The sequence below is a fragment of the Homo sapiens genome, chromosome 6 (assembly GCF_000001405.40).
Source record: "Homo sapiens chromosome 6, GRCh38.p14 Primary Assembly".
Lineage (NCBI taxonomy): Eukaryota > Metazoa > Chordata > Mammalia > Primates > Hominidae > Homo > Homo sapiens.
In genome coordinates this window covers 33940085-33955717 of record NC_000006.12, presented here as the reverse complement: position 1 = coordinate 33955717, position 15633 = coordinate 33940085, and the positions used below count along the sequence as shown (strand labels likewise).

Genomic DNA, 15633 nt, shown 5'->3' with positions numbered 1-15633 from the left:
CTGAGGGGCCAGAGCCATGGACAAAAGCCCAGCACTCTGACCAAATCTGTAGAGTTTATTGCGCACTCACTGTGTCCCAGGCCATGAACCAAGCATACTGTTTTATATTCACAACAACCATATGAAGCAGATGTGATTGTGTCCCATCTTGCAGATGAGGAAACTGCGGCTCTGGGAGGTTATAGAAGGCACCCAAAGCTCCACATTGAAGATGTGATGGAGCCAGGTTCAAACTCAGGGCAGATGGACACAGGCTCTGCCCTCACTGATGAGCTGAGTCTGTTCTGTGCTGAGTCCCTCCTGCTTCCTTCACCTTCCCTTCCTTCCACTGCCATTGATTGAGCTCCAACTTTGCGTTGGGCCCTCTCTGCACACAGTATAATTGCAGACAGGGAACCCTCCCTGTTGCTCTGCCATGGGCTCTTCCCCTCTGGTGTCCGGGGAAGCCTATGGACCCCTTCTCAGAATAGCATTTTTAAGTCCGCAAAATAAAATAGCTAAGATTCAAAGGAAACCAATTATATTAAAATACAGCTATCAAAATATTAGGAAAAAATGGTACTGGAGCAATATATGTGCTTCTTTATTAATGCACTAAAAGAATGAAATTGCGTAGTGGGGCTATCTAAAACCACATCATCTCAAAGTAGGGTTGAGCATGAGTGAGACTTCAAGTTTTCTGCTGCAATTATAATATCATTGAAACGATCTGCACTTTCTATGGGTGACAAAGTCCCAGATTCTGGGACCACCTCTGTGGTTTGTTGCTAATGCATGCAATGGAAACAGGTGCTACGTTCAAATAAAGAGGAGTGAAAATAATGATGTGATTCTTCCCTGTCCACATTCCCAGGCCCCCGGAATTCTATCCAGGGATCTGTAGGGGATCCACAGACCCCAGGTACTACCACTGCTCCAAGGGGTGTAGATGTGGGGAAGACAAAGGAAGAGGAGGGCAGGGAAGGGGCCAGTCCCTGAACAGGAAGTGAGAGAGGGAGGCCATGGCGCTGGGGGAGGAGTAACCAGTGGAGGGAGGTGAGGAGGCCAGCATGGCAGGCACGTGTGAATGGGGAGAGGGTGGTGGCTGGGAGTTTACAGAATGTCTGGCCATGCTAAAATTGTGGATTCAGGCTAGGAATGACAGCCTTGGGACCATGGAGACCAGAGCAGGGATGTGGTCTGATTGATGATCTCAGAGGGTCCCTCCCTAGAGGACAGCCTGTGGGGCAAAGGCGGAGGCAGGGGACCAGTGAGGGGTGATTGCTGTCCTCCAGGCCCCAGCTAGGATGGCAGCAGTGCAGCAAAGTGGTCAGATTTTGGGCACTTTTTTTTTTGAGATGGAATCTTGCTCTGTCCCCAGGCTGGAGTGCGGTGGCACGATCTCAGCTCACTGCAACCTCCGCCTCCCAGGTTCAAGTGATTCCCCTGCCTCAGCCTCCTGAGTAGCTGGGACTATAGGCACGCACCACCACGCCTGGCTAATTTTTTTGTGTGTTTTGGTAGAGATGGGGTTTCAACATGTTGGTCAGGATGGTCTTGATCTCCTGACCTCGTGATCCACCCACCTTGGCCTCCTAAAGTGCTGGGATTACAGGCGTGAGCCACCGTGCCCAGCCAGATTCGAGGAACTTTTTAAAAAATGGCTTTATTGAGATATAAATCACATAGCCTACAATTCACCCATTTAAAGTGTATAATCCAATGGTTTTTAGTATGTTTGCAGAGTGCAAGCATCACCACAATCAAATTTAGGGCATTTTCATCAGAAAGAAACCCCACAACCATCAGCGGTCATTCCCAATTTCTACTCCCCACCCCAACCCTGAAACCTTTCCTCTCCCTCACATCCTCTGGCCGCAGGCAATCACTGATCATTGAATACTTTCTGTCTTTGTACGTTTGCCCGATTCTGGACGTTCCCCCCTCTTATCTAACGGTAATTATATATCCTTTGATCAGCCTCCTCCCATTCCCTCTCCCCCAGGTCACCCCAGCCTCTGGTAACCAAACTCCACTTTCTATGTCTATGAGAATGACTTTTTAGATTCCACACATGAGAATCACGTGTCTTTCTGTGCCTGGTTTATTCCACTTAACATAGTGTTCTCCAGGTTCATCCATGCTGTCACAATGACAAGATTTCCTTCTTTTTTATGGCTGAATAGTACTCCACAGTGTGTATGTACCAATTTTCTGTATCAGTTCATCTGATGAAGGACATTTAGTTTGATTCCATGTCTTGGCTATTGTGAATAGTGCTGCAATAAATATTTGAGTGCAGATATTTTTTCAGCATGCTGATTTTATTTCCTCTGGGTACGTTCCCAGTAGTGAGATTGCTGGATCATATGGTAGTTCTATTTTTAATACGTTGAGGAACCTCCATACTGCTTTCCATAATGGCTGTTCTAATTTACATTTCCACCAACAGTGTGCTAGGGTTTCCTTTTCTCCACATCCTTGCCAACACTTGTTATCTTTTGTCTTTTTGATAATAGCCGTTCTCACAGGAGTAAGGTAATATCTCTTTGTGGTTTTGATAGGCAAAAGACCTGAATAGACATTTCTTAAAAGAAGACATCCAAATGACCAACGGGTATATGAAATCATGCTCAACATCACCAATCATGGGGAAAATGCACATCAAAACCACAATGAGACACATTTTAAAGATAGAGCCAGCAGGATTTCTGATGGGTCGAAGGTGCAGGATGAGGAAAGGAGAGGCACGTGTCCTGCTCCAACCCTGGACCAGCGGCTGGCTCTGGGCAGCTGGTCCCTGCTGTGACAATGGAGCTCTGGTTCCGCTACCTGCCCCCAGCCTGAGAGGTGCCCTGTGGAAGCTGAGGCAGGAGGAGGGACAGCTATGGAGCACCCAACAGGGACCAGATGGCAAGCTCACTTCCTGACTTTTCAAAGCCACTGCACTCTTTCACATCTGTCATTATTGTCTTTTACACCAAGGCTTCCAGGAAACCTTCCTGCTGCCTCGAACACAGTATTGGCTTCGCTACATGACTTTCTTTGCAAAAACACAGGAATTCCCTCAAGAAATTTACTTATCTGCTCTGTGGACCTGGGATGTCCTCTAGTTACTCTCACTTCCTGGGTGACTCGAGAATGTCCTTGGCAACCCCAAACACAACCTTTTTCCTCCAGGAGCATTTCCAAAGGCAGCTGCAAGACCAGGAGGCTTTGTCTCAAACTGAAAAATAAGCCGCCTTTAGCAGATTCTCAAAAAATGTTTGTTGATTGAATGAAAGAGGTGAATAGGGGTGAGGAGAGAAAGACAATTTCTGAGCTCCCTCTGAGTCCCTTCTCTTTGATTTGCTTTGAAGTTCCAGAATATCAGACATGTCCATGGTCCCATATAAGAGCAGGAAACTGTCCCAGGTCCAGGTGCTGAGGCTCAGCACCATTTTGGGTGGTCGTCCTTGTCCTGCCCCAACACAAGTGGGTCGTGGGGCAGCCAGTGGTCCCCCCTTGTCTGTCTCTCTGCTCGCACCCACCCACACCTGCCCCTCAGCCTGGCTCTCTGTCCCTTATGGGCCATGCTTTGTGGCCATTTGGTTCTCTGGTGGAACAGGGTCTGGCACCCCCATTTTTTGAGCTGGACGGAGTTCAGCTCCCAGTCCTCCCTCCCCTGAGGAGTCATATCCCAAGGAAGTTCCCTTTAGAATGCCCAAGACATCCCAAAGTGCTAAGGCCTAGATCAGAGATTGGCAAACTATGGCCCATGGGTCAAATCGGGGCCACTACGTATTTTTATATGGTCTGAGAGCTAAGAATGGGTTTACATCTTTAAATGGGTGAAAATGAATCAAGATAAGAATAATATTTTGTGACGTGAAATTATATGAATTTCAAATTTCGGCATCCATAAATAAAGTTTTCTTGGGACACAGCCGCACATTTGTTACGTATTGTCTCTGGCTGCATTCGCCCTGCATGCGCAGATTAGGCGGCTGTGATGCAGGCGGTGTGGTTGGCAGAGCTCAGTCACGTGCTATTCGGCCCTTTGTAGCACAAGCTTGGGGGCGCCTGGCCCAGAGCACGTGCGGCCCGTGGCACCTGCACCACCTGCTCCTAAGAGTGACTTGGGTTGTGGAAGTGAGTTCCTTAGACCCTTGAGGCATGAGTGTTTTCCCACCTGTAATCCTGCTTCCCGCTGAGGTCGGTCTGAGGGTTTGAGGATTTCATGAGATTGGCTTGTGCCATGAGTGGCCCCAGTGGCTCAGAGCGGTGCCTTTCGGTAGCTCATGCTGCAACCCCTGAGACTTGCCCTTAACAGGCAATGCTGCCCCCAGGCAGGTGGGCCCCTCTCCTGCATGAGAAGTCAAGTTACAGGGACCACGGCAGGTGAGGAGGGCAACCTGGCAAGGGAAATGGAGTCACATGGCTCATCCTAAGAGGCCAGTGACTGGAGATAGCTCCTTACCTTAGACGGGTGAGGAGACCCATCAGGGTGGGCCACTGCCCGGCCCAAGGGGCATGGAACACATGGTCCAAAGAGCACTGTCTTGGTCGGCCCAGGGGCCTTGGGCAAGTTCCTGCCCTCCCCTGGGTGTGTCCTCATTGGCGACTCGGCAGGGGTGGGCTTGCAGCCCCCACCTCCCCCAGTCTGAGGCCAAGTGGCCCTCACCAGCACTCTCCTCCCTGGCATCTTCATATCACCTCTCAGGCATTCATCAGCCCTAACCACCAGCCTCCAGGGCAGGGCCATCTGGGTGTGGCTGGGCCCAGGGGCCCTGGAACTGCTTGAACTCGTGGAGGCAAGGGGGTTGAATCCCTCCCTCTCACCTCCCACTGTGGCTTTATTAATTGTTTATATTGGAGTCTGTTAATTGGCAATAACCAGCATGCTGAAGTGTCTTTTAATCACCCCCTCTCAGGGCCCTGAGGCTGTGAAGAATTGGTGGATTCAATAAAGCAAGAAGGAATTAGCACCCCCCATCCTCTTCATTATCACAGTTAGATAAACTGCCAACACCTGTCATGCAAATGAGCAGGAAAGAAAACCCAGCCCCTCCTCCTGGCCCTGCCAGGAACTTCCCTGGGTGAGGTAAGATGCAGGCCAGGCTATGACAGGCATTGCACACACACACACACACACACACACACACACACTCACACACAGGCATACAGACCCACAGACTCACCTCCTGTGCCGTCCTGACCACACTCACTCACTCACTTAATAGGCGTTTCTTGAGCACCTACTATGTGCCTGGTGCTGAGGAAACTGCAGTTTATCAGGGGACCCAGACCCTAGAGGACAATGACAGAGGCCTCTACAGGGTGCTGTGGGGGCCAGAGGGACAAGGACTCTCTTTTTGGGATGCAGGGAAGGGAGTGAGGGGAGGTTCTGTTGTCCGTGCAAACCTACACCCTCGAGAAGAGTCCTAACATATTGCATAGTGCCCACTCCATCTGCGAAGGCACCTGAAGCTCCCTGACTCTGTCTGTAGGTGAAGAACCACCCCCAGAAGGCTCTGACACACCCACACTCTGGCAGTTACTGGAGGAGCTGTTGCTGGGCTTGGAGACAGGGCAGCCAGGAGAGCTTGCAACAGGCAGGGTTGGAGCTGCAGGTATGGCCTCGGGTTCGAGGGGCTGCGGCGGGAAGCTCTGGCCTGCTGGGTGCTGGTAGGAGGGCCCAGGCCCCTTGTCCTGAAGAATAGCCAGTGGCTCCCCATCACTAGCATCTCAGACTACATTGAAGTCCCTGCCACAGCTGAGTGGGCTCCGCCTCTCCACCAACTCTCCACTGTTCCCAGTGTTCCCATCACCTCCTGTAACACACACCTGAGCTCCAGCCACAGCCGGGCCTTTGCCACCCCACCCCTGGCTGCTCCCGTGCTGCCTCCTGCCCACCCAAATGTTTCCCATTCATCCTGCAAGGCCCTATTTGGTTTTTCTTTGTGGGGAGGGGTCAGTGAAGACAGTGGGTGGGACAGTAGTGGATACAGGATGGGGTCTGTTTCCTGTTCAGCTGTTAGATTGGGTTTGGACCTGATGAGAGGCAAGGGCCAGATGGTGAAGGGATTGTGAGAAGCTGAGGGACTCCATGAGCAGATGAGGGCTTTCAGATTCCGACAGGAGGGTTTACTCATCAATGTGACTATATATTTGTACCAAGAAATGGCTATGGCCACCAAGCTCCTTCTGCATCATAATTGTCTGCAGACCTGACTTGTCCTCCTGGTGGTAAGCTCCCTGGGGGCAGGGACTGAGCTTTATTTATTCCCAAGTCCCAAGCCAAAGTCCTGGGGTCTAACACCACAGAGGAGCTGACAGAGCAGGTTCCACAGCTCACCCATGTTACCCTGGCACCCAAGCAGGTTGGGAACCAACACTGACCCCTGGGTGAGGCCTTTCCCCAAAATGGGACTGCCCCCAGGAGGCCACCGTCTCCCTTTCTCGGCTCTAGCTCCTCTGGTGACCTCCTGTAGCTCCAGCAAAGTGGGAACATTACTGCACATCTGCGTAGAGGCTGAGGCAGGCACCTGGGAGGAAGAACAGAGGAGAGGTTGAGGGGCATCTCTCTGAGAGGCACCCACCCAGAGAGCAGCGTGGGGCCAGCCGGCTGGTGTACTGAGAACCTCTGACAAATGAGGGGCCAGGCCCCAGGCTTCCTGACTTTAAACTCCTGTTTCCTTGTCTGTCAAGCTGGGATCCTAAATCTGACCTCATAGCCTCCCACCTGCAGAATCCCCCAGTGGCCTCCATTGGAAGCTGAGCATCATCTGTAGGCATGCAAGACCCTGGGGGCCTGGCCCTGCTCCCCGTCTTCCTGCACCAGGCCCCCCACACTCCAGTCACGGGGAATTCCTTGCTGTTCCCTGAACGTGCCGCTCTCCCATACTCATCTTTGCCTTTCCCCCGTCTAGAACACTCTCTCCTATCTGGCAAATCCCGCTTGGCCTCCAGGACCCAGTTCTCTGACTTTCCTTCACACCCTGCACACTGCAGCTCTCCCTGCCTCTCATCGTCCCCTCTACATGGAACTTCTGAGGGGCCATGTCTCATTAGCCTCATGTCCGCAAGGCCTGTGTGGAGCAGGTGCACAGTACCTGTTTGCCAAGGGAGCGAGTGATGCTCTCTGGGGTCCCCTCCAGATACAGGATCCTGATGGAGTGGTCTGTGTGCAGGTGTGAGGGGGAGGTAAGAAGGTGGGGGAAGCTGTGTCCCTTAGGGCTGGCCTCAGGCTTTGGAGCTCCAATACCCCCTTCTCAGAAAAGCCCCAGTGCCCCATTGCCCCCAGACCCTTCTTATTGTGCCCCCACAGAGCTTGAGTTCAATAGGATTAGGCTGGACTGGGAGCAACAGGTGTGAACTCTGAATGAGTTAAACAAGATGAAACTGGATTTCTCTCTCATGTAAAAGTCCAGGTAAAGTCTCCCAGGGATGGCACCACAGCTCTGCCCTGTGCAGCCCTCAGCAAGCTAGGCCCTTTTTTTCTTAGTGGCCCCACGATGGCCTCCATCCCAGACCTCACCTCAGGTCACAGTTCCCGGCTTTTGACTGGGGGATCTCCCTACTCTTCTGAGACCACGTGGATTGAGCAGGGCTGATCTCACTCCTGGCTCCAGGTGGACTCCTGGCCCCAGCCTCACAAATTCATTAATGTCAGGGTTTTGGAGAGGTGCCCTCTTTCTGTGAGAGTTTTCTAGCTAGTAGAGTGAACACCTGGGGTTGCCAGGGGCCATCCCTGCCCCCATATGTGAAGCCAGCTCACAGAGGAGTCGGAACAGTCCTGTTGACAAGGCTTGAGCAGCGGGACCCAGCCGTATCTGGAGCTCCAAACTTTGTATTGACCTGGGCCAATACATCCACCCCCATCGTTTTATTTTTCTTTGTTTAATTTGAGTATAGTTCTGTAAAATTTGATTAATACGAAAGCTTAGAATGTCACCCCTCTGCGGATATTTGGATTTAAGTAAAAGAAACTCTGAGATGGAGACACATTGAAACCCCAAAGGAAGAAGCTAGTGAAAGGAGTGCATGAAAATGCAGAGAATAGGCCTGCCCTCTCCAGTGAGCCCTGCGCTGTCGGCTCCATTACCCTTGCTGGCTTCCCCCCAGCTCCCGGCCTCCTCTGTCTCTGCCCAGACCTCCCTCTGGACCCTGCAGCTATGTGCTATGCTCAGCTACCCGCTGGACATGTCTGCTGGGAGAGCCCACACACAGCCCACGTGCCACATCCAAAACCAAACTCATCTGCCCCACCCCTGTAGCCCACTGCCCTCTCCTCCCAGCCCAGTCCCCTCAGGGACACCCCTTACAGTTCTGTGTCCTTCACTTCCTGCCACCTTGGGCTGCTGTAATTCAGTGTGAGCGCCCTCACAGTCTCTCCCAACCTGCAGGCCTGCCCTCTCTCCGTCCACTCACAGCCCAGCTGCCAGGGCCTCATCCTAAAAGCATGCTGGTTTGGGATGGACTCTGTCATCCTGAGGCAGGCAGGGTGCTGTGATCTGGAGGAACTGTGCAGAACGCCCCAACAGGGGAGGCTGGGAACATGGGAAAAGCCTGGTGCATGGCTGCCTCTGAGCAAGAGAGGCCGTGAGTCCTGTCTCCTGCAGAGAGTGATGCCAATCCAGCTGTCATCTTGGGGACCTCCTGAGAGTAGATGGGTCCAGAGAGCTTGCCTCACCCTGCCTTGTTGGGCCCCACTGGGAACGGCTCTGGCCTTCCCAAGAGGCCTCAGCAAACTCAAAGCCCTTGGTCACAAGCTTCAGGTGCAGGCAGAGGTAAAGCTCAGGAAGTCCAGGATGAGGATACTCATCCCTCATTCAAGGACTTCTACTGATTTCTAAAAACCCTGCCCCTAAATGAAAAGCCATTAAATGAAGACATATTTTCATTAATTTTAGAGAAAAAATTACTGTGGTTGCTAACTAATGTCAAGGCATCTAATTTCTCACAGATAGAAAAACAGCAACTGAACATGGAAAACAAGTTTATATAAGTAATAAGTAGCAATATGAGATTAAGCACCACAGTTTGTAACTAAAATGTAATGTGATGAGGGTTTCTCTTTCTTGGGAAAGGAGTGGGTGGTGCCTGATGTCAAGATAGGAGGGGAAAGGGTTCAGTGTCTCTGAGGATCTGCTTTCAGGCAGGAGCTGTTGGGGGTCATGGTTATCTTGCATTGAAAAACAGAGAACAGAGAAGCGTAACTCCAGGGCAAAACCAAGGCTTAACAGAGAGCACTTCCACCAAACAGGTGGAAATGGCCGTGCAGGCAGCAGCCTGAGGAGCCCTGGAAGTCACTGCTCGCATCTCCGGCTCGGTGCCTGATAAAGCAAGGCAGTTTGGCCTGTCCAAACTTGGAACGCAATTCAGATGTATTCCGTGTGTTAACCTCTGCCGAGACACCGTAGAGCGCACTAAACAAGTGGCAATTAGGACTTTTCTCTGGAAGTGTCATGCCAGCCTCCAGGTGAAACCAGCCTCACTGGGAGCAGTTTAACTTTGTATTTTTAAAAATCATGTGAGCCAATAAATCCTCTCTACTGTTTAAGGCAGTATTTTCTGTTACTTGCAATTGAAATATGCACCTGCAGATTCCTCACCCGCAGGCCCTGCATCCATCTGCGGTTTGCCAATTGCCCATTGAAGGTGCAGTGAGGCTTGGATGCTTGTGTCTGTACTGACCATGTGCAGTCTTTTTTCCCCTGCCATTATTTCCTACGTAACACATATAACAACAATTGTATTAGGTATTATAAGTAATCTAGGGACGAATTAAAGCATACGGGAGGATGTGCATAGGTTATGTGCGAATACTATGCCATTTTATTTTTATTTTTTATTTTTTTGAGACTGAGTCTTGCTCTATTGCCCAGGTTGGAGTGCAATGGTGGCATCTTGGCTCACTGCAACCTCTGCCTCCCAGATTCAAGGGATTCTTGTGCCTCAGCCTCCCAAGTAGCTGGGATTACAGGCGCCCACCACCACACCCGGCTAATTTTTGTATTTTCAGTAGAGATGGGGTTTCGCCATGTTGCCCAGGCTGGTCTTGAACTCCTGACCTCAGGTGATCCACCCGCCTTGGCCTCCAAAAGTGCTGGGATTACAGGCATGAGTCACCTCGCCCTGCCATATGCCATTTTATATCAGAGACTTGGGTATCCTTGGAGTCTGGAATCCTCAGGGGTCCTGGAACCAATCCCTTGTGGATACCAAGAGATAAATTTATTTAATTCGTGGGTTTTGGGGTGAAAATGTTTTTATAATGAAAAAGAAGGTGGGAGGGGGAATTGTCAGAAAAGTGGTGTAACTTTTCGAAAGCCAATAGGGTGAAAAGTCGTCAACCGGGGAGCCTGAGGAAGGGTCTGTGTTTTCCCAGGACCGGAGGACTCCTTCCCAGCCCTGTTAGGAGGAATAGACATCTGTCCACCCTGGTGCCCACCAGACCGGGGGTGTGGGCAAGCCGATCCCTACGGTTGGGAAGGGTATCTGCTCTGGGAATCCAGGAGAAACAGAGCTGGGGGTGAAGCACTTGGGTTTCCCCACTGCCCTGCACGGGCGGGCCACGGCTCCCTTCCCCTCCTCATCCCTCACAGAGGCCCTAAAGAGGGAACAATCCCGTGAATGTGGTTGGACTCTGAGCGTTTATAAGATTCAAGCTGAGATATGGGACTATTATTCTGTAAGTTTGTGGGGAGGGGCAAATCTGATTCCCCTCAGCGCCCCTTCCCCCTGTGTGAAGCCTGCGGTTCTGGAGGCCCAGCGTCCCGGCCCCCACTTTACGGCAGTGAAGCTCCTCCCCCATTCTTGGTCACACTGTTTGGATAGGATTGGCTCTCCTCAGCCCAGGAGCGGGGCCTGGGTATTTGCAGCCAATCAAGGAAGCTCCTCAGTCACAGGATTTGGTCCAAATTGGGGACAGGACCCATTCAAGCCAATGAGACACAAGGAAATTGGTGTTGGGGGACTCCGGGGGAAAGGAGCCCCTTTGTTTTTCGGAGCTTTACCGGCAGAGCTGTGCTCGCTGCCGCTGGACTGGAAGGAGGGAGCATATGCCTGTAGCTCCACGAATGCTGACAGCCATCAGCGGGCGGAGCGGGCAGTGTTAGGATAATGCTGACGCCATGGAAGACAGAGAAGATAGATGGGAGTAGGGTCTCCAGTGACACCACTGGGTTGCTGGAGCCAGCCTCACCTGAAGCAGTTTAACTTTGCATTAAAAACAACAACAACAACAACAAAAACATGCCAGCCAATACATCCTGTCTACTGTTTAAGGCAGTATTTTCTGTTACTTGCAATTGAAATATTCCTTCCTGACAATGCCGGTCTCTGCTCCAGTATTGAGGGTAACACCCATGTGGATCAGAAAGAAGGGGCCCCGACACAGGGCAACAGGCAAGGTTACTGATGGCAGAGGGCTGCTGGGCACTTCCCATGCAGGGCTTCGGATCGATGATGGCATCTGATTCATGATGGACATCTCAGACTGTCGGCTGCTTCGTGACTCAGGGTCAGGCATTCAGTCTCCCTACAGCCCATGGTGAGACCCGTTTCCTCAAAGAAGAGTTACTCATTCAGAAGCTCCAGAGACTCCACTGGGAATTTGCGACTGGGGGCTTGTCTCTGGTGAACTCCAAACAGCATTGTGCCCCACCCTGGACATTAAACACCACCACTAGGAAAGGCTGAGGACAAAGGGTCCTGGGCCACAGCTGAGACCCCCTGTAGAGCCTGGCTTTGCTTGGGGCCCCACTCAAAGCTGGATGTTTTCAGGTTGTTTAGAAACCCCTTTTAAGTTGGTAAAAAGAATTGATCTTAAGGCTGCCTTCAAAATCCAAAGAAGTCATGGAGCATTGTGCCTCCTTTTAAGTTCTTCATTTGAAGAGAACTTTCCAACATGTCTCAGACCACTGCACCTGCAGGATCCTCTCTGAGGTGCCAGGGCCTGAGTCACAGCCCAGTCTCTGTCACATGTGCATCTTAACAAGACATCGAGGACACCTGTGACTTCCTTCCAGTTGGACACTATTAGTGTTGTGCGATCAATACAAAGTACGGGCCCATTGGCAGGATGATGCCCGTTGGGATGAGGAGCTGGTCCAGGCTGTGGGAAGAACCAGAAAGCCAGAATTTCCTGAGGCAGAGCTGTACCATTCTGTTCCTCTCTCTGCCAGGGGCAAGCAAACTGCTTCAAGTGTTTTCTGTTTGTCAGGTGGAGTACATTCCATTTTCCAGATCAGCAACTGAATGCCAAGCACAGGGCTGAATTAATTTGCTCTACCAAGGAGCCCACATCTGGAACAGCAACTGCAAATGGAGTGGCCACCCAATTAAGTGTACAACATGCCACTGCTGTTTGCTAAAACCTGGCTATTTTTGACACTAGCCAATCTGGGATAGAAAGGAGATATCGTCAGTATTGTCCCAACTACATCTTTCTGGTGTTGGGTGGTGACACTCAGCCTCGCAGTCCCCTGGGGTTGCAGTGTTGCTTTTGGTTTACTGTATTCATGGGTAGAAGGAGCTCAAGCGACTTCCTCCTGGCCCTTCCTATCACTAAGGCCTTAGTCTTCTGATCAAGAAGCTGATGTGGGTTTTCTCTCCTATAAAGACCTCTATTTCCTTTCAGGAACTTGAGAAGTCATTGCTGGAGGGGGTTGAAGTCCCACTGACCTACTGTAGGGAAGATTCAGGTGGGAACAGTTATCCCTGAGCTCCCAAAGTGCCAGTCTGCCCTAGAGACCACAGTGGCATTCCTGTTCCCAGGAGTTAGAGCTAGCTCAGATAATCCCCTAATCACCCATTCCTCCTGTGATCATGTCTTAGTTCATTTGTGTTGCTATAAAGGAATACCCGAGGCTGGGTAATTTATAAAGAAAAGAGGTTTATTTGTCTCATGATTCTACAGGCTGTAGAAGAAGCATGACGCCAGCATCTGCTCCTGGTTAGGGCTTCAGGAAGCTTCTGCGTATGACAGAAGGCAAAGGGGAGCCAGCTGCAGAGATCACAGGTCAGGAAGCCAGAGAGAGGGAAGAGAGGTGCCAGGCTCTTTTAACGATCAGTTCTCTTGGGAACTAATAGAGTAAGAAAGCACTCACCATGAAGACGGCACCAAGACCTTCATGAGGGGTCCACTTCCATGACCCAAACACCTCTCCCGAGATCCTACCTCCAACATTGGGGATGAAATTTCAACATGAGATTTGGAGAGGACAAATATCCAAACCATGTCAACTTAGTAACCCAGGTAAAGGGCAGCAGCTGTGTTTGGAGGAAGCTCACGGAAGATTTATCATGTCCCGTGTGTGCTGCTATAACAGGTTCTAGCTCAAAGGCCCTGTCTGCCCCTGCATTTGAGAAGCTCTGGGTCTGAACCAACCCTGGACTGGGAATTCCATCTCAGTTACAGGTACTCAAGCAAGCCCTTCATTCACCAAACCTGGAAGATTTTGGTTATAGAATCAAGACCTCAATGGGCTACTTGCTCATTTCATCCCTTCACTGATCAAGGGATGTCTTGATCAATTACCCATACCCAGGGATCACTGCTTTCGGAGTGATTCCCTTAGAACCCATTCCCTGCCTCCTTTTTAGGGGATGGCCATGACCACTATTTTCACATAGTTACTTAACCTGGGCTAGGCCACTAAAGCTCCTCCCACCCACTCTAAGATTAGAAATCCCATTGTAACAGCAGCACTTCTGCTATAATTTCTAACTATTGAGAGTGGGTAACTGAGCCCATTTTACAGATTTGGGAAGGGTTGATATGGAGTTTTATTGGCACTGACCACCAATAAATGGTTATGCATGGCCATGACAATGTGCCTCTCACATCACCTTTTGCGGTGCATGTAATTGACTGCTGGCCCCAGCGGCTGCACTCTGACTCCTCCACTGTGTTTGTACCAACACCACCTGCCCAGGCCTACCTGTGCCCTACAGGGATGCCAGGCAGGCCCAATCCTGTGAGATGCGGGGCTCCTCTTACAGGTGACTGTGGCTCAAGGACTTCCCATCAGCCTTGCGGAAACTTTCTCAGAGCTGCCCAACCACCTGAAACTCTCCTGACCCAGCCTTCCTTCCTTCCTTTGGTCCTTCCCAGTGGTCAGACCTGTGGTGCCATGAGGGCTCTGCCTACTGCCTCCGCCTTTCTCCCCATTTTCCTTTGCAGGAATTTTCTAATCCCTTCTTGGTGTCTGCATCCTGGAGGACCCAAACTAACACATTTCATACCTTAAGTTGGATAAGAGGTTCGTAGATGTTTGTTACATTATTCTTTATATCTTTTGTAAATCTGAAATATGCTATTAATTTTTTGATAATGAAAAGACAATATTATTACCCTTTTTCACTGAGAGCATTCTCAAGGGAAGGAGGAAGGGAGAGGCTCCTGGAATGGATGTGAATTGAGAGATCGAGTCAGCATTCCTCTCTCTAGCTATTTGACTTCTGTTCCTCTAATCATGCCAAGCATTTTCTGGGCCCTTTTTGCCAATTAGTGTGGACCATCATGTGGTCCAGGTTTGCATTAGTGACTTCTGCAAAATGTCAGAACTTCTGCCAACTGCCTGAGAGAACACCCTGAATGCAAAATTTCTGGTGACTGCACCCATACCAATACATGCAGCCAAACCTGTGCTTATATCCCTCCCGCCTTGATAAATGCCCCCTCAAAATCCATTTCTACACATATTCCTCATAACTTAGGAATATAAATTACTGAATTTCTGCAATCCTTTCTGGGTATAACTATTTCCCATCCTGATTCTGAATTTTATCATCTGGATCATGTTTAGTCTGGGTCCTGAATATTCTGGGAGAAACAGTGAAGAGTGAGTCATGAGGGAGCCCGAGGGTGGTGCACTGAGGTACTTGGATGCTTAGGGTCTCCTGAGTCCCTATAATCCTCCCAGATATCACTGTTCCAATAGGATATTGATATTTCCTGGCCAATTCCCTCCACTTCGCAGAAGTCACCTGGTGAGGCTGTGAATTCACTGACACCGTAGTTCACAGTAGCTTCGGAATCAATGTCTAAGTTCATTCTTCAGCAATTTCAGCTCCATGGCTACATGCAATAAAAGATTATTTCAGCATGGTCATATAAGGCTCTGAATTCTATTCTGTGCCTCGAGGTAAACATTTTGACTTGAGCCTGTCATTTTCTTGCTTTAAATTATCTAGTCTTAGGGACAACCATCCAGCCTATGGTCCCAGCACTCATCATCCTTTATAAATTGGTCCATGGCAGCTGCTATAGTCTTTCACTTTAGGTTGGCACATGGTCCCAGGTGACCGGAGGGTATAACATGATTAGTTGTTCACCACTGTGTACCATTGGCAACCACTTTCCTATCCACTAATATGAACCAGAGTCCGACTGATTTTCCCCCATGGAGTTATGAAAACCAATTCCGAGTAGCTCACATATCCCTAAGGGTTTTGCATGAATCCCACGGTTATTCGGCTGCAAGCACCGAAAGTTGACTCTGAAAAAGTGAAACAAGAACAGGGGACTTATTGAGGAGTTACTGAAGGAGGTCACAGAATAGAAGGAGAAGCTAGACAACGGGTCTCAGGATCAACAGGAACCAGGGCAGCTCTGGAGTCTTGAGTAACATTGGCAATCTCTCTAGGGTACAGCCACGAGATGCC

The 15633-nt window shown here is 50.3% G+C and overlaps 1 annotated feature.

Annotated features, from left to right (window-relative positions):
* Positions 790-1290: an enhancer, noted in NCBI's record as "H3K4me1 hESC enhancer chr6:33922205-33922705 (GRCh37/hg19 assembly coordinates)". NCBI's record gives its function as "activates a minimal SCP1, AML or CMV promoter by ChIP-STARR-seq in naive H9 embryonic stem cells {active_cell/tissue: H9 hESC(naive)}" and the evidence as "EXISTENCE:reporter gene assay evidence [ECO:0000049][PMID:30033119]".